Genomic DNA, 23491 nt, shown 5'->3' on the forward strand with positions numbered 1-23491 from the left:
TCCTGGGTTCAAGTGATTCTTCTGCCTCAGCCTCCCAAATAGCTGGGATTATAGGCACCCGCCACAATGCCCAGCTAATTTTTGTATTTTTAGTGGAGATGGGGTTTCACCATGTTGCCCAGGCTGGTTTTGAACTCCTCACCTCAGGTGATCCACCCACCTTGGCCTCCCAAAATGCTGGGATTACAGGAATGAGCCACCACGCCCAGCCCCATTCCCTTTTCTATTCAGAACTACCCCATTTAGATTGAAGTCTTATCCTATTTTTATAATCTCCCAGTGAAGGGCAGAAGAGGCAGCCCTCTGCCTTTCAAAACTTACTTCATTGTGTTATAATCCTCTCTACTAAGCATCTCCACCTCTCATCATTTGTCCTATTACAGTTTTAAGATCTTGTATCATAAAAGAAAAAGATCATTATATAAAATTGGAAAAATGTAGAAAAGTATGAAGACAAAAACAAACATGCCATGGTCCTACCTTCTAAAGGTAATAACTATCAAAACATTTTGATGGACTTCCTTATCTTTTCTATTTATATAAACACACACATATATATCTGTACATTTATATAATATATCCACATATCCATATATGTGAATGTGGCTATCACATCAGTTGAAACAGATTATTTTATGGCATAGCCTACAACAAACATATATATGGTTACTCTGCAATTGTTAATTCTTATTAATGACCATTAGGTGGTAGTTATTGTTTTACTAAATAAATCTGTAGTAAACCTGCTTTTCCATAAATCTTTGACTATGACCCTTATTTTTCTATGTGTAGGATTAATGGACCAAACATCACAAATATATTACAGTCTTCTGCTGGTTGATACCAAATTACTTTCCAGGAAGGTTTTGCTGTTTAGATGCCCATCCTCCCATCATCTGATGACACTTTTTAGTCCAGCTTTTTCTGTGAAGCCCCGGAAAGCAAGTAGGGCTGGAAGAATGCGTGCACACGCGCGCGCGCACAAACACACACACGCGCATACACACATGCGTGTGCTCACACACACACATGCACGCAAGACTGTCACACCCTGCTCTGGTGGCTGCCCACATGGAAGAAGTGCTGCTAACTCCTGAGGCAAGAAGGGGAGACGTGAGAAATCCTTCACATCCCGAGTCTCAGTGGCTAAAAGTCCAGCTGTCAGAAGTCTGTGTTCTGAGACTGTTGGTTACCATGGCAACAGAAAGACCTGAATTAGAGCCAGGAATGTGGAGAGAGAAAAGGAAAAACGGGGATAGAAAGCCACAGAATTATCCCTTTTGCTTCCAAAATATTCTGTGCCCTAGGCCGGGCGCAGTGGCTCACGCTTATAATCCCAGCACTTTGGGAGGCTGAGGTGGGCGGATCACCTGAGGTCCGGAGTTTGAGACCAGCCTGACCAACATGGAGAAACCCCATCTCTACTAAAAATACAAAATTAGCCGGGTGTGGTGGCCCATGCCTGTAATCCCAGCTACTCAGGAGGCTGAGGCAGGAGAATCACTTGAACCCAGGAGGCAGAGGTTGCGGTGAGCGGAGATAGCGCCATTGCACTCCAGCCTGGGCAACAACAGCGACACTCTGATCAACAACAACAACAACAACAACAACAACAACAAAATATATATATATATATATATATATATATATATATATTTTATGCCCATACCATCCCGGATTGAAGAGGATTCCTCTTGAGGGTAGAAGGACGAATGCATGGAGGTTACTTCTCTCTTGTCAGGTGGCTAAGATGGTTCCCGTCCTTAGGAGATTTAGAGCTCTAAATAAGGGGCATGGGTATAAATACACACACACACACACACACACACACACACACACACATATGCTTACAAATGGCAAAAAGCCAAGAAACACTTATCTGACCTAAAAGAACCTCAACGCATTGGAATCTATCAATTTCTAAAGATCTTTTCCAAATATTTGTCTCCATTTCTGCTTAACAAGATTACAGTTAAAGTTTGCCATGACTCAGTCTCACTTTTTTCACTGTAGAACTGGCTTAAATTCGTTTGTTCTGTTAAATAAGATGTTTAAGGAATTCTGATGACATGATAGAAGAAATAGGCAGAGTTATAGTTAGAAAGAAGCAGATTCTACTACCCAATAGATGCAGCCTGGCAGGTACCCACAGACTGCCCACAACTTCCCTGAGTGATTGTGGACCTGGATTAATCCTGGAGGCTGTTTAAGTCAGAAGTAACATGTTCCCCAGCATTTATTTTATTTTGTTTTATTATTATTTTTTATTTTTAGAGACAGGGTCTCACTCTGTTGCCCAGGCTGGAGTACAATGATGCCATCATAACTCACTGCAGCCTCAAACTCCTGGCCTCAAGCAAACTTCCTCAGCCTCCCAGGTAGCTAAGACTACAGGTGTATATCACCATGCCTGGCTAGTTTTCCCTAGCACTTATTTAACACTTATTATATGCCAGATCTTGTACTAAGCACTTTATATGTGTCATTTTTTAATCCTCACAGCAACTCAATCAGTTAAGTATCATCATATGCCCCATTCAATAGAAAGAGGAACCAAGGCATGAATGGTTGTATAACTCTCTCACATTCCCTGATCATAAACCCAGAACCTAGATTCAAACATAGCCAGATTCAAACATAGGTAGTCTGGCTTCAGAGCCCATATCCTAACCTCTACACACTCTTGTCTCAGGAGGCTGACCACCCACCTCCTCCCTGGAAGATTCCTGGGGGAATTGATCCAGGCCGAAATAAACCCATGTTCTGGTTTCTTGGAAGAAAATCCGTTGAGGGGAACCGCATGTTCTAAAAGTACTTGCAAGGGGTACATATGGTATACAGGACTGGCTAACAATGGTGTCCATATTTGGGGCAGGCCAAAATGAGATTTATTTATTTATTATTTATTTATTTATTTTTGAGACAGAGTCTCGTTCTGTCGCCCAGGCTGGAGTGCAGTGGCACGATCTCGGCTCACTGCAACCTCCGCCTCCCGGGTTCAAGCAATTATCCTGCCTCAGCCTCCTGAGTAGCTGGGATTACAGGCGCCCAGCTAATTTTTGTATTTTTAGTAGAGACGGGGTTTCACCATGTTGGTGAGGCTGGTCCCGAACCCCTGACCTCGTGATCCACCCACCTCGGCTCCCCAAAGTGTTGGGATTACAGGCGTGAGCCACCGCGACCGGCCACCAAAATGAGATTTAAAATAAGCATTCAGCTTTCTCTTTGGCATAATGGGATCTGGAGTCGTCTCTCTAGCTGTTCATAAAAAGTTGGTGACTGCCTTCCAGAACTCTGGGGGCCTAAAAAACAATTCATAAGTAGCTTCTTCTCCATGCTGCTGGAGTAGAGGCGGAGGAGAAACTATGTTTTGTCATTACTCATGGAAATGGAGCACTTTGAACTGAATATAAACATTTAAGAAAAAAATGATTTCCCAGCGTAAACCACCAAAGTTTAGAGTGATCCCGAGGATAGAAGAGCTTCAAAGGGAGGCAGCCTCAGAGAAAACTTTAAATTTTATTTATTTATTTATGTATTTATTTATTTATTTTTGAGATGGAGTTTTGCTCTTGCTGCCCTGGCTGGAGTGCAGTGGCATGATCTCCAGCTCACTGCAACCTCTGTCTCCAGGGTTCAAGGGATTCTCATGCCTCAGCCTCCCAGGTCGCTGGGATTACAGGCATGTGCCACCACACCCGGCTAATTTTTGTTTTTTAGTAGAGACGGGGTTTCACCATGTCAGCCAGGCTGGTGTCAAACTCCTGACCTCAGGCGATCCACCCACCTCAGCCTCCCAAAGTGCTAGGATTACAGGCATGAGCCACTATGCCCAGCTAGAAGTTTTACTTATTTGTACCATTTCTCTATGATATATTTGTAGAGATACTGTATTAGTCCATTCTCATGCTGCTAATAAAGACATACCCAAGACTGGGTAATGAATAAAGAAAAAAAAGTTTAATGGACTCACAGTTCCATGTGGCTGGGAAGGCCTCAAAATCATGGCAGAAGGCAAAGGAGCAGCAAAGTCACATCTTACATGGTGGCAGGCAAGAGAGAGAGCATGTGCAGGGGAACTCCCCTTTATAAAACCATCAGATCTCATGAGACTTATTCACTGTCATGAGAACAGCGTGGGAAAGACCCACCCCCCATGATTCAATTACCTCCGACTGGGTCCCTCCCACAACACCAGAGAATTATGGGAGCTATAATTTGAGATTTGGGTGAGGACATAGCCAAACCATATCTGATATATTCTCTATAATCTGTGTGTGTGTGTGTGTGTGTGTGTGTGTGTGTGTGTGTACACAACTTTGAAAATATACAACTCAGGTAGTGAAAGTACCTGAAACACAATTTCTTGCTCTAGAAAAATATATGATCATTTAGGTTTTTCTTTCTGAAGCATCATAGAAATAGCAATGACACGCATCATCCTTAGGATGCCATGCTGAGGAATGTAGTCACTTCTAAATGGTAACTCCACTTTCACCTCCAAAAGAAGGTCAGGGGATTTGGGGGTCCTCATTAACAATACGGCTCATGTTAATTTTTTTCTTAGGGCCTTAATTAGACTTGCAGGTCTAGCTTCCCTTGGATTACAATTTTACATCGTCTAAGTAGTATAAGCTGCCTTTTCTCTTGAAGCAAGATCAACTGTAATAAAGCTTCTTGAAGTTTTAGAAATGATAGTATGTTGTGGATTTATAATGTTTTAGGCCTGAAGCCAATAATAACTAAGAATTGGAACACTTCCTAAGATCCATTTGACTTGATGGGATTTGGAACCTAAATATACAGAGTAGGAAGTTTCTAATTTGGAAGTTAAGCTGTTATGATGCTTAATTTTATGTTTCATCTTGGCTAGGCCATGTGGTGCTCAGATATTTGTTCAACATTATTCTGGAGGTGTCCTTGAGGGTATTTCTGTATGGACTAGTATTTGAATCAGTAGACCCAGGAAAGCAGATTGCCCTTCCCAGTGTGGGTGGACATCATCCTATCCATTGAGGCCTGAGTAAAACAAAACACTGAGTAAAGGAGATTTTGCACAGTCCTTCCCTGCTCCTGGAATCAGACTGGCACTTACACTATCAGCCCTCCTGCTTATCAAGCCTTCAGACTCAGACTGGAGCTATACCCTTGGGTTTTCTGGGTCTCCAGCTTGCAGTTAGCAGATCTTGGGACTTCTCAGCCTACATAAATGCGTGAGCCAATTCCTTAAAATCTCTCTCCTTTCTCTTTCTCTCCTTCCCTCCTGCCTTCCTTCCTTCCTTTTTCTTTCATCTTTCTCCTTCCTTCCTTTCATCCATTCATTTCCTATTGGTTCTGTATCTCTACAGAACCTAGACTAATATAGCTATTTATTTTTCATTAATTTAAATTATGAAATACTTTAAGCATACAAAAAAGAGACATCCTGAACCTGTGATGGGATGCACTGAGGGCACAGCATCGTTTCTGTGGTATTCTTGCCAACAATGTATAATCTCAATCATGAGAAAATATCTGACAAACTCCATTTGTGGGACATTTGACAGAGTTTCTGACAAGTTTCAGGTCAAGAAAGGCAAGGAAAGACTGAGGTGCTGTCACAGACTACAAGAGACTAAGGAGAAGGAACCACTAAATGGAATATGTGATTCTAGATAGGATTGTAGAATAAAAAAAGGACATTAGTGAAAAAACAGGAAATTCCAATACCATCTTTGTTTTAGTTAATCATGCTGTATCCAAGTTAATATCCTGGTGTGATCATTGTACTATGGCTGTGTAAGAGGTTAACGTTAGTGGTGTAAGCTGAGAGGTATATGCATACCCTGTACTATGTTTGCAACTTCTCTGTAAGTCTAAAATTAGGTCAAAATAAAGAGTTGAAAGAAGAGCTGGGCACGGTGGCTCATGCCTATAATCCTAGCATTTTGGGAGGTCGAGGCATGTGGATCACCTGAGGTCAGGAGTTTGAGACCAGCCTGGCCAACGGTGAAACACCATCTCTACTAAAATACAAGAAATTAGCCGGGTATGGTGGTACACGCCTGTAGTCCCAGCTACTTGGGAGGCTAAGGCAGGGGAATCACTTGAACCCGGGAGGCAGAAGTTGCAGTGAGCTGAGATCGGGCCACTGCACTCCAGCCTGGGCAACAAGAGCGAAACTCCGTCTCAAAAAAAAAAAAAAATAGTTAGAAGAATACATTAACATACAGAAAATGATATGACAAACGCCTGTGTACTTAAATCTCAGTTTGGTCAAGTCTTAGCATTTTGCCATATTTCATTGTATCTTTGAAAAAAAAAACATAGATAAAACTTAAGCCCCCTTTTATTTCTTTCCTGAACACCTTCTTTCCCTGCTTCCCTCCTGAGCATTATTCTGAATTTGATGTTAATCTCGTGCATGTTTAAATGCTCTTTTACATATTAGTATATCATTTTACCTTTGAGGACAAAAACTTATGGAAATTTGAATTAATACTTAGTATTACAGAGTAGTATATACTTAGTACTTAATACTACTGAACTGTACAGTTAAAAATGATTAAAATTGTATTCTTTTTCTTTTATTAAAGTTATTTTTAATTGACATGTTTGTTTATGGGGTACGATGTCATATTTGGATACATATATATTGTGGAATGGTCATAGCAAGCTAATTAGCATAGCCATTGCTTGAAATATTTATCATTTTTTTGTGGTGAGAACTTTTAAAATCATTTCTTTCAGCTATTTTTAAGTATACAGTACATTATTATTAACTGTCATCACCTTGCTATGCAGTAGAGCACCAGACTTATTCCTCTTGTCTAACTAAAACTTTGTACCTGTTGACAAACATCTTCCCTTTCCCTCTTTACTCCCCAAAATGGTAAATTTTATATGTATTTTACCAGTAAAAACAATTAAGGGGAAAAAAAGAACCAATGTAAATGGGCTTCAAGTGATGCTCCTCAGAAAGAAGGAAGTTGCCTTATTTCAACTGCTTTTTTTGCTTTATAAGAATTATTGTGACAAGGACTTCCTTCTTCCAAACCAAATTCTTAGCTGAAATATTTATAACGATTATTTTTAGGGGCGGGGAGAGGATGGGTATGATTTCCTATGCTCTGTTTGCATGTTCATTCCCAAACAGATACAACCTTATCAAGGCTCATGCACTTAATTAAAGTGGGGGGCAGGTGGTGAAAATAGAGTGTTTTGGTGTACACAAGGTTAAACTGCATCATACCGCTGCCAAAGGCTACACACTCTGCTTGATGCTTTCCCATGGTTGATAATTTAATTTTATGACAGTCTCTGAGTTATGTGTTTTCATTCTAATATTAAGTTGTGCAATTCAGAGGACCTAGATTCGCCTCCAGAGTCCAGGACTCCCTGCAGCCATGCTGCCTCTTTTGAGAACTGACCTCAGCTGAGTTGTTTATGCATCATGAGTTGACATAGTCCACAGTGCTAATAGAGGGGAACTACAGGTTCCCTCTCCCACAACTTTACCATCTAGCACGGCCATGAACACAACTTACAGACTGAATTCTGCCACACATATAAACATTTCATGGCCAGCAGGCACAAAAACATCACACAACCTTGTTCTGTAAGCTCCCAAACTGCTGTGCAACAGGATGGCCAGTAGCCACATGTGGCTACTAAAATTTAAATGGAATTAAACAAAAATTGATTCTTCAGTCACATTAGCCACATTTCAAGTGGTTAGTGACCACCTGAACTAGTGGCTACCTTATTAGTCAGGTGAACAAAATATTTATGTCATCTTAGAAAGTCCTGTTGGACAGAGCTGCTCTAGACAGTCCCTGTGCTCTGTCCTTTGGTTGGATCTGGAGAACATTGAGCAAAAAGTTTCATTAGAAGCAGATGGGACAATATTCTAGCGTCAGGATTGGGCTAACTTTCTTGACAGCATGAGGTGACTAAATTTCCTCCAAAGCATCTAGAAACAGGACTGAAGAGAGTCTTCAGCTGAGGACACCATTTCCCCCTCCCTACCCAGCTTTATTGAGGCATAATTGACAGATAAAAATTGTATATATTTAAGGTGTACAGTGTGATGATTTCATGTATGCATACATTGTGAAATGATTACCACAATCAAGTTTATTAACACATATTAACACATCTATCACCTCACTGTGTGTGTGTGTGAAATCTATATTGTAGCAGATTTCAAGTATATAAAAGAATATTAACTGTAGTCACCATGCTGTACATCAGATCCCCAGAACTTCAAGGTCTGAGGGCACCCTTTGAAAGACGTAGACAACTGAGCTAGATAGACTCTTATTTTCAGGTTATGCAAGAGTGGGGAAGTCTACAATACTTAGAGCCCATTATGAACACTGAAAAATCATTTGCAGCATTCATTATTCTAAGTAACAACCCTCTGGTATTCATCAGAGATAAACATGGTTGACTTGGTTTTCTGTTTACATGAGCTTTTGATTAGTCATTCAAATGCTAACTACCCCAGGGTATAGGTTAAAAATAATTACTACCCTTGTATCACAAAAATACCCATGTTGTAATGTTTTGAAAAATTGCAGACAATATGACTGCCTGTGTATAGATAGCCTCATTTAGTTTTTGCAACAACCCTTTCCAGTAGAAATTGCAGGTATTAATCTCATTTTTGTCTCTATTGAATTCTCCAATATGCTGTGGCCAGGCTATTGCATGATGGAACCAGTTGCTAAAGAAATTCAAATTGTTCGTATAGCTGCCAAACATACAGCCTTTCTTATTGTATTTTATAATGTCAAGGCTCCTACATACTTTGGGCCAAGCCTGATGGTGCTTCATGCAACACCAAATACAGGCAACCTACAGTCCTCTCCTCGCTCTCTGTTGGAATATTTTCTGTATTTTTCAAATCGTTATTAATTCAGCAACTGTGTGCATACCAGTTGAGTGCCTATCAGGTTCCAGGTGCTGCATCCTGCCACTTCTAGCTGCAGCAGGTTCATTTTTAACCTGGCTTTGCTGCATCTATAAAATAGAGATGATAATGTTGTCTTTGCAGAGTTTTTGAAATGATTATATATGTGGGATGTTCTGTAAATGGTTTATTTTTATTGCATAATTGAGGAGACAAACTCCTTCCTCTCACTTTCCTTGGCAATACCCTTCTGGGAAAAATGTTTGTATTTTATTCTAAAATGTCAGACATAGACTACTTTCCAACCCTGATTCCATATCAAAATCATGTGTGCACACAATAATTATACTTGGATTTATGTGATTATCTGACTATCTCCCCCACTGGATTGGAGCCTCCACCAGGGCAAGGTGGATCGAATTCATTCTAGGAAGTGTCAGCATCTGCCAACATGGTGCCTGACCAACAAACCCCTCCTGGATTCTGGCCATCATGGTTAGGGAACCACCAGAGTTAGCATCCTTTCGCAATGTTTCAATTGCATGAGAGCCACACTGGAGACCATTTCTAGTGCATCTCTAGTTGGGGTGGAAATGCCCAGAAGGGATCCTTTTGGGCTAAGCAGAGGTTTGGTGAAATGAGTGTCATCTAATCTGGATGTTCAGAGCCAACAGTTGTTCTTCTTTTGGCACCATTCTAAATTGGGTAGACAACCCCCTTGGTGGGAAGAATTTTGCACAAAATATGTTTGTGGGGAAGGAGGAGAGACATAGACTCCCTGGGTACTGTTACTTACATCAGAGGAAACAAGAAAGTACAGATCAAAGAGCAGAGTTGGCATTTTACTACTTATCCTTAAAGGACTAGAAGTCAAGTGATCAAAATGTGAAGACCTTTGTTCTAGTTCTCTAGGGGACTATAAAGAAAAGTGGGGATGGGGTGGAAGTAAGAGGTGGAAATGCTCAAGGTTGATTCTCTAAGTGGAACCCCAAGGGTTCAGAGGCAGACTGACTGGCGTCCAGCTCCAGACTAACCCAGTTGGAGAAAATGGAGATAGGAGGTAGCCTACAGTGTTTTTATTATATTATGGAAAATCAGAAAGATGATATATAGTATCTGAGTGAGTGAAGAATGAATGTAAATAGCAGTAAATGTGAATGCCTGTTATAATTAATAATTAACTTTAATTTAATTAGAGAATTGAGGATGAGCAGAACCGCAACAGGTGAGCCTGGATTGCAGGGTGGGGTGAGATGAGGGTTGGATGTCTCTTGGCATCTCTTTGGCTATTCTCATCAGTCATCACAGAGTTCCCATTAGTAGACCTGCCTGTGGGCCAAAACCTCCTGCCTGTAAATGATTTTGCTGATTTAGTGCTTTATATTTCTGTCCATCCTATTCTTAGCATAAATAAAGCTTTCTCTGCACTTCCCTGAAGCTAAATAAAATTAAGCTATGGGAGGCTCCCTGCCTCTCGCATGGATCTCCCAGAGCATCTGTGAATAGACGCTGTTGTGTGTGCACACAATGGTCTCCATTCAATTAGGAACCACTTGTGTACATCTCCTCTAGGAAGAGAGCTCTTTACCTATATTAGTCTGTTTTCACACTGCTGATAAAGACACACCCGAGACTGGGAAATTTACAAAAGGAATAGGCTTAATGGGACTTAACAGTTCCATGTGGCTGGGGAGGCCTCACAATCTTGACAGAAGGCAAGGAGGAACAAGTCACATCTTACATGGATGGCGGGAAGCAAAGAGAGAGCTTGTGCAGGGAAACTCCCATTTTTAAAACCATCAGATCTCATGAGACCCATTCACTATCACAAGAACAGCATGGGAAAGACCCCCTCCATGATTCAGTCATCTCCCACCAGGTCCCTCCCACAACACATGGGAATTGTGGGAGCTACAAGATGAGATTTGGGTGGGGACACAGAGTCAAACCATATGATTACCCAGAAAGCATTTATGGTGGCCTACCAGCTTGGGAAGTGGTTAACGAAAATGACATTGGTTAATGAAAACTATAGTCAAGGCTTTGAAAAATCTTGTAATGTGAAAACAACTTTAAAAAATTATAAAAACAATACAGTATGGGAAAATTAGAAGCTATAAGACAAAAGGGGGCAATATTTTTTAAAACCTACCAAGAGCAAAACTTTAGAGGTAGAAATTAGATCAGTGGTTGCCAGGAGCCCCTGGGGGTAGGGAAATGGTATAGGCTGCAGAAGGGTAAGGGGAGCACTGTGAGGGACAGAAATAATCCACATCAGCACTGTCCAATAAAAATGTAATTTGAGCCACAAGTGGGAACCATTAACTTTTATTTTTCTATAGGTAAATTTTTAAAAAGAAAGAGACATAGGAATAGGTAAAATTAATTTTTTGATGTTTTATTTAACTTAATATATAAAATATAATTTCACTCTAAAATAAATATAAAATTATTACATATTTTTGCACTTTACACTTATGACACATTTGATTTTGTGCTGGCCACATTTCAAGGAGCCGTGTGTGGCAGGTCTGTGGGCCACACAATTCAACGCAGTTTTGGTGGTGGTTTCATGGCTGTATACATTTGTCAAAGCCTATCAACTATATGTCTTAAAGAGTGACTTTTATTGTGTATACAGTATATCAATTTTTAAAAAATTCCTGATAGCCATTATGAGCCAATGTATGTTCCATCCTTATATTAAAATTATTGTCTTGAAATGAATGTCAGAAATGCAATTTGATAATTCCATTGTCAAATTCCAAAATAAAGTTAAGATCGTACATTAGAATCACCTAAGGCTAGTAATTTTCATAGACTTCATGGGGGTGTGGGTGTATGTGTGTTTCCATTACACAGCTTAGTTTAGAAAGGTCTAGTGAAAATTTAATTAGACATTGCAATTTAATAAGAAAGGATTAATAATTAATTAATAAGAAAAGGATTTGCATATGTTTGGCAAGATAAAGATGAACCCAAATTGCTTTGACAAAGACAGTGCTATTTTAAGAAAGCTTGTCATTTTCTCTTTTGTTTTATGGCTACTTCTCTTGCAGCAGTATTAAAAATCACTGTCTCTTGACTTCCTTCTGTTTCTATTGTATAATGTGTTTTGCAGTAACTGTTTTGACAGTGGATCTGTCTGCAGGCATTTTTGGGGTATGGGGGAGGATGAGTTCTCATGTACCCACTTGGTAAGAGAAGGTTGTCGGGGAGTAAGTTTAACTTTCATCACTAAAGCTAGGAAATTTTTTTAGCTCTACGACTGTGTGTTAGTAGTTACAAATAATATTGTTTGCCATTTGATAGCTATTTTGATGTTTTCTTTTTTTCCACCAGAAAGTCCATGTTTAAGTTTTGCTGATGCTTACATAAACTTTAACAACTTACAAATGAATACATCCAGGAGAAATAGGCCAAAGGATATCTTCGAAATGGTTTTGAAGCCCAGATGTCTGGGCCGAAAATAAACAGATAAAATTTGTTAGGGTTGAAAAATCAATTCCGTAAGTTTGGGCTGGGGAAGACCCAACTGGTAAGAAAATTATCCCACAATATTCATAGACTGAATCTTAGAGTACAAAATGTGATATAGTTGTTTGAGAACTTCATAACCCGCAGCATACATTTAACAAGTGGGCCACAGATTAGGCACAAGGTAAACCCTTATCAGGTTATTTCACCTTAGCTTAGAGTTTAGTTCGGTGCTCTGTTAGTTCAAGAAGCAGTTACTCCATCCGTACTTGCTATCAAGATGAATTTTATATATAGCAATGAAAATCAGATTTCAATGTGCATTGAAAATGCAAATCCCTGTGCCCCATTTGTAGGAATTTCTGGTTTATTAAGCAAAGAATGGGGCCTAGAATCTGCACTCTCAGCATGCATTCCATGTGATTCTTATGCCAGCAGACTCCACCCTGAAAAACTCTAATCTTCAACAACCTGTTAAACTTTTACTAGGTTTTCTGTACAGATTAGGCACTGTGATAAATTCAAACAAAAGGCAATTTCTTTGTCATGAACATGCTAACGTAACTTACAAGGTGGTATGCTGGGAGTGGTACAGCCAGTGCAAATGGGAAGGAGCTCAGAGCCAGGGGCCAATGCCACCAACAATTGATTCAGGTGTACAAAAGTGCATGTCCACCTCGTGGGAAATAGCATGAGCTCCAAAAGGGAGAATGGCATTACTAGGGGAAGCAGCTGCACTTAGATATGGACTGCAATGTTGTTGAAGCACTTAGGAAATTTTAACAAGAAAATTGACTATGACAATTAAGAAGCAGATGTGAAAGAAATGCATTTGATCATTGTCAGAGGGTCTTAAACTTGAGTGCACATTAGAATCACCTGGAGGACTTGTTAAAATACAGATTTCTGGGTCCCATACTCAAAGTTCCTGATTCAGTAGGTGTGGGGTGGAGCCTGAGAATTTGCATTTTTCTGACAAGTTCTCAAGTTATGCTGGTCTGGGGGCCACACTTTGAGACCCACTGCTCTTAATGAATTTGGTGTCTTGATTTACCAAAAATCCATAGATGATGATGACGGGTGCAAATTGTTGCGGCAAGAATGGGGAAGCGATGATTATCAGGGTGTGACCTTGAACTCCCACTCATAGGCTATGTTCCTCCCCGCTTTTTTTTCCTTCTATGACTTTTTTACTCTCAGAGCAACTGGTCTAACCAAAAATACTCTGGGGGTGGGGACAGGAATGTGGCTATGGAGAATAATTTGAGAACTATAAATCAGTTTTTTTCTTTCCTAATTGAGGTTTTTATTGGTTGTGTTGAGGATCAGTACACAGACATTCCAATTTGTACAAAATTATGTACTGAAACTCTAAAAAGCTATTTTCATTCTTTTTAAATTCATTGCAGTTCTTTTTAAAAGTTATTCCAATGACTCTCCAGCTTAACATTTGGAAGCAAATTTTCCTTAAGAGGATATCAAGTACTAGTATCTTCAAATGTTGATAAGCTGTTACATATGTCATACCAATTCACAATTTAATAACATATACACTCAAATTTCAGTCTTTCACAGCATAATGCATTTAGGAAAACAGGACTACCACAAACAAAGATGCTACAGACAGCACACTGTTCTGACAGGGGGAGCCATGACCAAAGAGTAGTATTTTTTAGGAAACAATTCTACTAAAAGCCAACATGAAAATAGAAATAATCACAAATATTCGAGACATTAAATGCAGGACTGTGACTCCATATTGCCATTTACTGTGCTTTCTGTTATAGGATATGGAAACTAATCCCCCATCTTTAGAATGTTAAGCGGACTCCCAAGACAGTCAAAACCTGCCATAATTCAATATCCCACACTATTTTCTGATTGTACCAGAAAATAAAATAAACAACCAGCGAATGATTTCACCTCTTAAGTAAAAGCATTTACCCTTAAAAAATGGGTGAGTTAGGATTCCCTCCTTCTTAAAAATATTTCTAGAACTACTAAAAAACTTGCATTTACAAAATAGTAGATAAAAATATTCCTCTGGATTGTACAAGAAGGGAGACAGGGACACCGATAAAACATAGTGTATGATATCAGTCAGACTTAGTGTCTTTCTCTGTGGCTTCATCCGAGGCTGGACTCTCCTTGTTTTCAGTGTCTCCATTTTCTGCAGATAAATCTTTAGTTTCTTGATCAGCCACTTCAGCCTGTTTTTCTTTTCCTCCTTTTTCTGCTTTCATTTGTTTTTTTGTTTTGTTTTGTTTTGTCTGAAGATTTATCCTTTCCTGCTGCCTTTTTGGGCTTTGTTTCGCTTTGAAGGAGCAGGTTTAGCTGACCACCTTGCAGATCTCTTCTTCGGGGTCTCCCTTCACCGACACTTAGCTGAGCTGACCTTCCTCCTGGACATCTTGGCGGCATGGAGGGTGTGGGCTGGGTGTCTGCAGGCTGTGGTGCACCGAGAGCCTTCCCGAAACTGGGCTGCCTGGCCACAGCTGCTGCATCCGAGAACTACAAATCTTATATTCAGCATGTAGCCAAGTACTTCTAAAACTCTGATCAGAACTGCATGTCTCAGATTTTATTTTAGAAAACCATAGGTATCCACTACTTTATAGAAGTCTCAAATCTAAAACTGTACTCATGACGTAAATCCCCAAACTTGCTCCTCCTCCAGTGTTCTTTAGAAATGGCATCCTCATCTGCTCATCTTTTCAGTACCACAGGCTGGCCTCATCCTGGACGTCATTCCTTCTCTCACACACTTTCATTCCTGCATACAGTCACTCAGAAAGTCCCATCAGTCCCATCTCCTAACATATGTTACATCTGTCTACTTCTGTTGCCTTCACTACCTCCACCTTGTCCAGTCTACCAACTCCCAACTGGCTCTTCCCACATCTTCTCGGGATCCCTTCTGGTTATTATTGTATAAGACGCAGGGAGATTTTTTTTAGAAACACAGATCACATCAAGTCAACCCTGTACTTAAGACCCTTCAATGGCATCCCACTGTTTTTAGGATAATCCTTCAGTTCTCAAAATGGTCCCATGGGCCCTGCATGACATGGCCTCACCCACATTTTCAGCCTCATTTGCAGCCATTTTCCCTTTTGTTCTCTACACTCCAGTCCCACTGACTGTTTCACTTCCTGAACTAAAGGTGTTTAAACCCACTGCTCTTCACTGAGATAATCCTAGATGAATATCCCAGGGGTATCCATGGAGAAGAGGGTGAATGTGACACTTGCAGATGACATTCTTATTGAGATTAAAACTGACAAATGGCCCCAGTCTATTGCTTTTTGAAAACAAGGTCTTGGGGGAAAGAACCACTACTTGTCCTTAGCGAGCCTGTGCAATTTAGAAAATGGTGCCCCTCCAGGTGAATGCAGCCCCCGAGCTGTGTGGATTGGATTTTGGTGTCTGTGCACCCAGGGTGAGGTACTCTGTGAAGGACATGACCTGCACAGCCAGAATGGTGACTTTCTCTGGAGATGTCAGTTGGTTTGCTTCCAAATTAAAACAGGTCTAAATAGGTTTGTCTTATTTAGAAGCTGAACGATTATGGACAACTTCTGGAACTCCCTTGTAGCCCAGTAGTGATTTTATAATAATAATTAATATGAAAAGCTTTTACCATGAGGCTGTAAAAGTTGTTCTTTGCATGACTAGGATGACATTGTATGTTTGCCTTTCCAAGCCAGCATGGTTGTGTCTACACTGCTAGCTCTGTAGCTGTTTTTCAGAGTTGAAGACCAAGTGTGATTTACAACCCAGAATGTCTCTAGCTGCTGGCATCTAAGTTTGGCACTGAGCACTTAAAGCGCCCAGACTATGGTGTTTTACTGTGTGGAGGAAGGCCTCATTGGAGAGGCACAACATTTTTTCATCTGACATGTTTGCTCTTGTGGAAATGGCTTGAATTATTTGAGTCCTGGCAGCAGAAAACATGGGAGGAGACTTAAGTCTTGCTGAGCATGAATCATCCTATACAAATTAAAACTGATCACTTTTAAAAGCAGTTTCATTGCTAGTATAAAACTATCCATCAATCATTAGATTGCTTTGATGTGTATATCATATATCTGTGTGTCGCTGCCAGGATCCTAGCATGAACCTCTCCCTGAACAAACACTGAATAAATATTGCTATGATTTTGCTTATTACTTATACTTTTGTCTTTGACTTAGACACAGTTTAGTTTCTCGTTTTTAACTCCATGTTGAATATGAGTTCAGTTATTTTTCTTTTTTTTTTTGTATCTATGGAAGTGCCTAAATTTTACTAGGGGTGAGGTGGGGAAAATAGGAAAAGTATGAAAAACAACCACACGTGCACAATTCCTTTGTAATTTCAAACTTTAATGGACACTCTCTGGAGGTCATTGCCAGATCTCTCAGCAGGAACAGAATTTGAATCTGGGAGCAAGTAATCACTCTGTAAATGTTTGTTATGATACTGGAATTGCCAAATATGCTATATCTAATTGAATTTCATTACTGGGGCATGAAAGACAGTTGGTTGAATGTTGTCACTGAAAAGAATATATTGTGGCCAGCAGATTGTTGCCTATATAGCGCTGTAGCTGGGTTTTTCAGGCCAGCTGCACTTTGAAAAGTTCTGGATGCTGAAAGTATTGGAAAGGTTGGGTCCTTCTGAGGGCCAGGAGGGAAGGATCTGTTCCAGGCTTCTCCCCTTGGCTTGTACATGGCTGTCTTCTTTTGCATTCACATCATCTTGAATTTTGGGCACATATTTCTGTGTCCAAATTTCCCCTTTTTATAAGGATTCCAGTCATACTGGAATTAGGGCCCATCCGAATAATCTTGTTTAAATTGATTATAAAGACCCTATATCCAAATAAGGTCACATGCTGAGGTCCTGGGGCTTAGGATTTCAACATATAAATTTTGAAAGGACATAATTAAACACATCACATCATCCGTAGTTGAACCGCAACACAAATTAGCCTCAGAAATCAAGCTGTATTTATTTTGTGTTTTGTTTTTATTTGCTTTTTAGCTATACTTATTTTGTAATTGTCTATAAACTGAACCAGTTTCCATAAAGTAGTTGAATTTTATTTCTTTTTCCCAGATCCGACCCACCAGAGGGCCATGGTATTGGTTCTGCAGTCAACACTGTGCTCTCTCTCTCTCTCTCTCTCTCTCTCTCTCTCATTTGTTTCATGAGTCATTAGGCCAAAAAATGTTAGGTAAATGAAAGCAAATATGACAGCAGTACCTTGAACAAGGGGACCACGTCTTTCCCCCTCAAGTCCATGACGTGTAACATGTCTAATATTCTAGTTCTGAGGATTTTAAATGTAATTCGTTGATCTGTAGTGTGCTTTCACTGGACACCTTGCTTTAGTTAAACCATTCTTGCATATCCTTCATTTTCCACATTAGCCTTGTTTAGTTGTGCAGTTTTGACATTCATAGCTCTCCAGTGCTTTGGACTGAATGTTTATTGCAAGAACTTGCAGCTGACTTTCTATCAGGTCATTCTGATGTTGTCCAGGGATGCCGTCAGAGGTACAGGTTCTTGAAGCACCTTTTATGCTATCTTCCTTTTCTACTCTGGGCCTTTCCCAGTTTCTGGGAGGTCAAGGTATCTGCCAAGCCTCTCTCTCTGCAGCACACTGGCATCAGTCATACTTGTATGCTCCATCTGTACTTTATTGGTGTTTTTTTTTTTTTTTTTTTTTTTGAGACAGGGTCTCACTCTGTCACCCAGGCTGAAGTGCAATGGTGCAATCACAGCTCACTGCAGCCTCAACCTCCCAGACTCAAGTGATCCTCCAAGTAGCTGGGATCACTTGATCCTCCTGAATAGCTGGGACTACAGATGTGTGCCACCACACCCAGCTAACTGTTTGTTTGTTTTAATAGAGACAAGGTCTCACTATGTTGCCTGGCTGGTCTTGAAACTCCTGGGCTTAAGCGAGCCTCCCGTCTCAGCCTCCGAAAGTGCTGGAATTACAGGTGTGAGCCACAGCGCCCGGCTCCACCTGTACTTCAAAACTCACCCCACTCCCTGTTCCCGCAGCACGTCATGTGCTAATGTGACTGCTATGTACCCTCTTAGGCTTCTGGGCCCTGAAATACAATCCTATTTTGTTCCCCCTATCCTAAGAGATCAGGTGGAATGGAAGATTTTCTCCCTTTTGTATTAAATGGGTCAAATTTTGTCTCTCCTCAAGTATATTCCAAAATATAAGTAATCTGTTAATAAAACGTCTTATCCCTTCAGAAAACAGAATTTAGGGTGGGTTAGATAATACACATCATCATCATCATCATCATCATCATCATCATCATCATCATCATCATCATCCATACCTCTCTAAGCCTGTAGCAGGGTGGAATAGCATGAGCTATTGATTGTATCTGAGCAGAGGAATGCCTGGTACCCCATCTCTCCAGAAGAAATTAGGTGGTTTGAGAGCATCTCTTAGATCTGAATAATTTCAGTGCCAAAGACCAAAACCCCTTCATAAGCTGCTATTAGACTCTCCCTGATTGCCATGCCTGGCTTCTGTTGGAGACAATCCTAGAGGAAAACAGAAACTCCCAAGGAGCTGGGTAGCCAAGAGAGGAGCCCAGACCTTCCATCTTCCATCTGGTGACCTGATGGTTCTGGCATTTGACCTCTCTGAAGGTAAGAAACCTTGGATATTACACATAAATTCCAATATCTGAATTGACAGAAGTACTCTCTCCAGGGTAGATATGCTATCAGAGCTTAGATGTAAGGATGTTTTAAAAATTTCATTCAGAGATCAGGCACAGTGGCTCATGCCTATAATCCCAGCACTTTGGGAGACCAAGGCAGTGGATCACCTGAGGTCAGGAATTCGAGACCAGCCTGGCCAACATGGCAAAACCCCATCTCTACTAAAAATACAAAAATTAGCAGGGCATGGTGGCATGCACCTGTAATCCCAGCTGCTTGGGAGGCTGAGGCAGGAGAATCGCTCGAACCTGGGAGGCAGAGGTTGCCATGAGCCCAGATCTCGCCACTGCACTCCAGCCTGGGCAACAGAGCAAGACTCCATCTCAAAAAAAAAAAAAAAGAAAAAAAAATTCACTCAGAGACCTGAAGTGTCAGGCCCAGCAATAGTTCAGTAGTTCTTTGGCCCTTGATGTCAGTCCTGTGAGCTAGCTCTCCAGCACGAGGGACTTTCTTGTGTTTAGTTTCACCTCCTCTCTTCTTGGGGTAGATCACAATCAAATAGCTCCCATTTCCATCGTTTGGGAAGACAATGACCTTGCCTTCCCCACACACGTCCATACAGCACTGCTCCTCGGACTCCACACCCCAGGTCCAGAATAGTCAGGGTGGCTACTCTAGGACTAATCTCTCTTCCTATCTCCTGGTAAAATGGTTTTAGCAGACATTTGTCCCTGGCAGCTGTTAGTTTCCCCTCTCATCACTATATTAAGACATCCTTGGCCAAGCATGGTGGCTCATGCCTGTAATCCCAGCACTTTTGGAGGCTGAGACGGGAGAATCACTGGAGCCCACAAGTTCAAGACCAGCCTGGGCAACACAGGGAGACCTTGTCTCTACCAAAAATAAAATAAATTAGCCAAGTGTAGTGGTACATACCTGTGATTCCAGCTACTTGGGAAGCTGAGGCAGGAAGATCACTTAAGCCCAGGAGGTTGAGGCTGCAGTGAGCCGTGCGTGATTGGGCCACCGCACTCCAGCCTGAGTGACAGAGCAAGACTCTGTATTTAAAAAAAAGAGAATAAAAGACCTCCCAGCCCACGACTTCTTTAACTTTTTGCTTACACATTGAGGCCTTCAGCAAATTAAGAAAAACTTGGTGAGCTCCTGAATAGTGATGCTAGCCTCAGCATGTACAAAGGAGTCCTGGAGTATGTTCATGGTTCTGCTTAGCTTTTAGAACAGACCTCCTTTTACTGCCAGACTCCTAAGCTACTAATGGGCCAGTTGTCAGGGATGGGTATAGGCAGAGAGAGCCGGTCTGCAGATTTTTCTACTCATTCTCTGTCAGGTGCTATTTTCAAACAGGCAGAAAAAGAAAGGACAGCCTGCAATGCAATAGAGCTTTCCTTTGGGAGGAATTTTTTCAATAAAAAAAATAAGCTATGACAGGTTTTACGTCAACAAAGAATTGTTATATAACCGGAATCAAAGATTCTTGCATTTATATTGAAATAAATGTTAGGGTGATTTATTTTCCACAACTTCAAAATGACAATTGCTATTAATTAATTAATGAAACAGAAAAATTCCATGCTAACTAAAAGAAGCAACTGGTGGTATTTGCTGGTATTAATGCCTTCTAGTTGTAAGTTGGCTATCTGAGAAACACTTCTTGATTTGGTTCATTAACCCAATGAATGAATCATGAATAGGAGATCCAGCCACAGAAAACTATAGTTCCTGCAGGCAGATCCTAGGAAGGTTTGACACCATGGGGGTTCTGAGCTTGGGCTGCTCACCATATTTATTGCCACTCTTTAGACCCCGAAAGCCTCAGCAGAGTGTATATCTCTTAAGATCCTATTATCCAGCTTTAACTCCCTTTACAAAATCCAGGAAATTATACAAGTTATTTGGAAAATTCCCGTGTCGCATGTTTTCAGTAGGATGTTAAGACGTTAAAAAATGGCACTCCAACTTTGTGTTTTGTTGTATAATAGTAGAAGAGAACAAACAAAGGGTAACATCAAAAAGACCATAATCATGCATGCAAAATGCATGTCCACACCCAACAGAGGGGTGGGTGGAATTCAAGACCAATTTGTGTTGGATTCCAAGATAAAAAGGGACTAAGTGGATGTGCCTGTGTTTCCTCAAGGAGGAATTTATGGTATTTACTAGCACAAAGCAATCACTTAAAAGTTGAGTCAAATATTCCTGTACTTGCTTATAGGCATAGTCTATAATAAGGTAATGATTCATCTAGTTCCAACTTCACAGTAATAATCTTGGGTTATAGATGTGGAAAAAGGATTACATTTATCTGGTTTAATCTCATTTTACAAACAAGGAAAATGAAGCCTGGAAAATTTGTTTGAGCAATATGCTCTGTAACATCTCATAACTCCCAGTGGTATCATTTTCCACAAAAGAGGCAGAGTAGAGGGAAGAAAATGGTGTCCACAGGGCAGGGTCAGGGACCAGCCACACTCCAATCCCTGCTGGTGACTGCCCTCAGCCATCCTGGTGGCCTCAGCTGAGACCCAAGCCCTCCCCCAAAAGAATTGTCCCAGGATAACTCAGATATCACTAGTCATCTGGCGGATAAAGGCAAAGTTTGCATGAAAGTGGCAATTTGGGGGAGACATTTAAATGTTTCCATGCCTCATTTTCCTCTTCTATAAAAAGGGAATAATAGTATGTTTGTTCTAAATCGCTTGGGTACTTACTAAGCACTTAATAAATATTAGTTGTTATTGTTTTCTTTTTTCCGTTCTCAATTCTTTTCCCTCTCTGCCTTCCTCCCTCCTCTTTTCCCTCCTTTCCTTTTTATACCCCATCTGCATTGTTTTCAAGCATAATACATAGGGCATGAGAGATATTTTTCTTTAAAAATCTGGCTGTTTTTGTGCTTTCTTCCCAAAATTTCCAGAACTCAGTTTTATCAGTATATTTTGAGAACCCCACTGGTGGACATTTAGGTTGTTTGCAGATTTTTTTTTTTTTTTGGTTCTGTTTGAATCCCTCCTCTTCTACTTTGTAGCCCTGTAATCTCTTCAAGAGATGATGATCTTTGATGGCATTTTGGGGGTGATGTTCAGGTGGCAGCCAGATTGGAGGGGACCGTGGAGCAGACTGTGTGACTACTCATTCCAAGGGCATCATTGTGGAGAGTAAGCACTGGATCGTAACACAGGAAGGGTGAGGGAAGTGTCTGGGAGTGTTTTTTGTTTGTTTGGGGCTGGGATTTTTAGATCCAGAAGGTTTTCAACATATTTCTTAGTTTAGCAGAACGAAACAGAGGAATGGAAGAGATTGAAGATGTAAAAGAGTGAAGGAATAATTGTCTGAAAGCTTGGCATGAGATCAAGAATAAAAGGGCGGAGACTCTTCCTGTGATGGAAGGCCAGGGGCCAAGAACAGACAAGCAAGTCTACAAAGGAGCTTTAGATAGAGGGTTCCCCAGGATTGGCTTTGAGATTCTCAGTGTGGGGGGATCTGGAGTAATCTGCTGAGATTAAGTGTTGGAGGAATAGGAACAGGTTAGGGGAGAGTTTTATAGGAATTTTTAGAGACAGCCATTATGAGAAATGTGACAGGGAGGGAACTAATGATGGATAAAAGGATTCTTGAGTAACATTAAGTGCCCAGTCAAGATTAGACAGCAGGCATTTGAAGTGGAGCCAACTCAACTTCCTCTGGCTGTGCTTGGTACAGCTAAATCAAGAGGCAGCAAGATGTTTCATGTGGAAAAATAAATTTTTAACACTCTATTATTCTTTAACGGAGGGCAGGAATTGAAGCATCCTTATATGAAGATAATTCAAAGACATCCAATAGAGGTGGCATAAATACCAAAAATTTGAAAAGTATGTTGTTCCGCAGCCTTGTTTTTAGGCTCAAATAAACACCCCATTAAGTAGAATGTATACCCCGATCACTTAGAATACTCAAGTTTCGAGGTGCCACTTAAAAATAAGGCAGATGCTGTACTTAGCTAGGGAAAAGGTATGTCTCTTGGCAGGTGGGATCCCTTCACCTGGTCCACAAGATGGACTTAATTGGAAGCAAATACAGAATTGGAGACGGTCAATCAAATGGAAGCTCCTCAGTTCCTAGATCAGTTTCTGGTACATGGTAGGTAAATGAGAAATACTTTGTGAATAAAGTACAATTGTCCCTTGGTATCCATGGAGGATTGGTTCTAGGATCTCCTGAGGATCCCAAAAATCCATAGCGGCTCAAGTTCCTTATATGAAATGATGTAGTATTTGCCTATAACCTTCACACATCCTCCCGTATATGTTAAATCATCTCTATATTACTTAGAATACCTACTACAATGCAAATGCTATATAAATAGTTGCTCTACTGTATTTTTAAATTTCTTTTTTTATTTGAATATTTTAAATCTGTGGTTGGTTAAATTCATAGATATGA

The 23491-nt window shown here is 40.6% G+C and overlaps 1 protein-coding gene across 49 annotated transcripts in view; it reads left to right on the plus strand.

Annotated features, from left to right (window-relative positions):
* Positions 1 to 23491, plus strand: part of PPFIBP1 (PPFIB scaffold protein 1) — a 171359-nt gene that overhangs the window by 70061 nt on the left and 77807 nt on the right. The window lies entirely within an intron of this gene.

The sequence above is a fragment of the Homo sapiens genome, chromosome 12, assembly GCF_000001405.40.
Source record: "Homo sapiens chromosome 12, GRCh38.p14 Primary Assembly".
Lineage (NCBI taxonomy): Eukaryota > Metazoa > Chordata > Mammalia > Primates > Hominidae > Homo > Homo sapiens.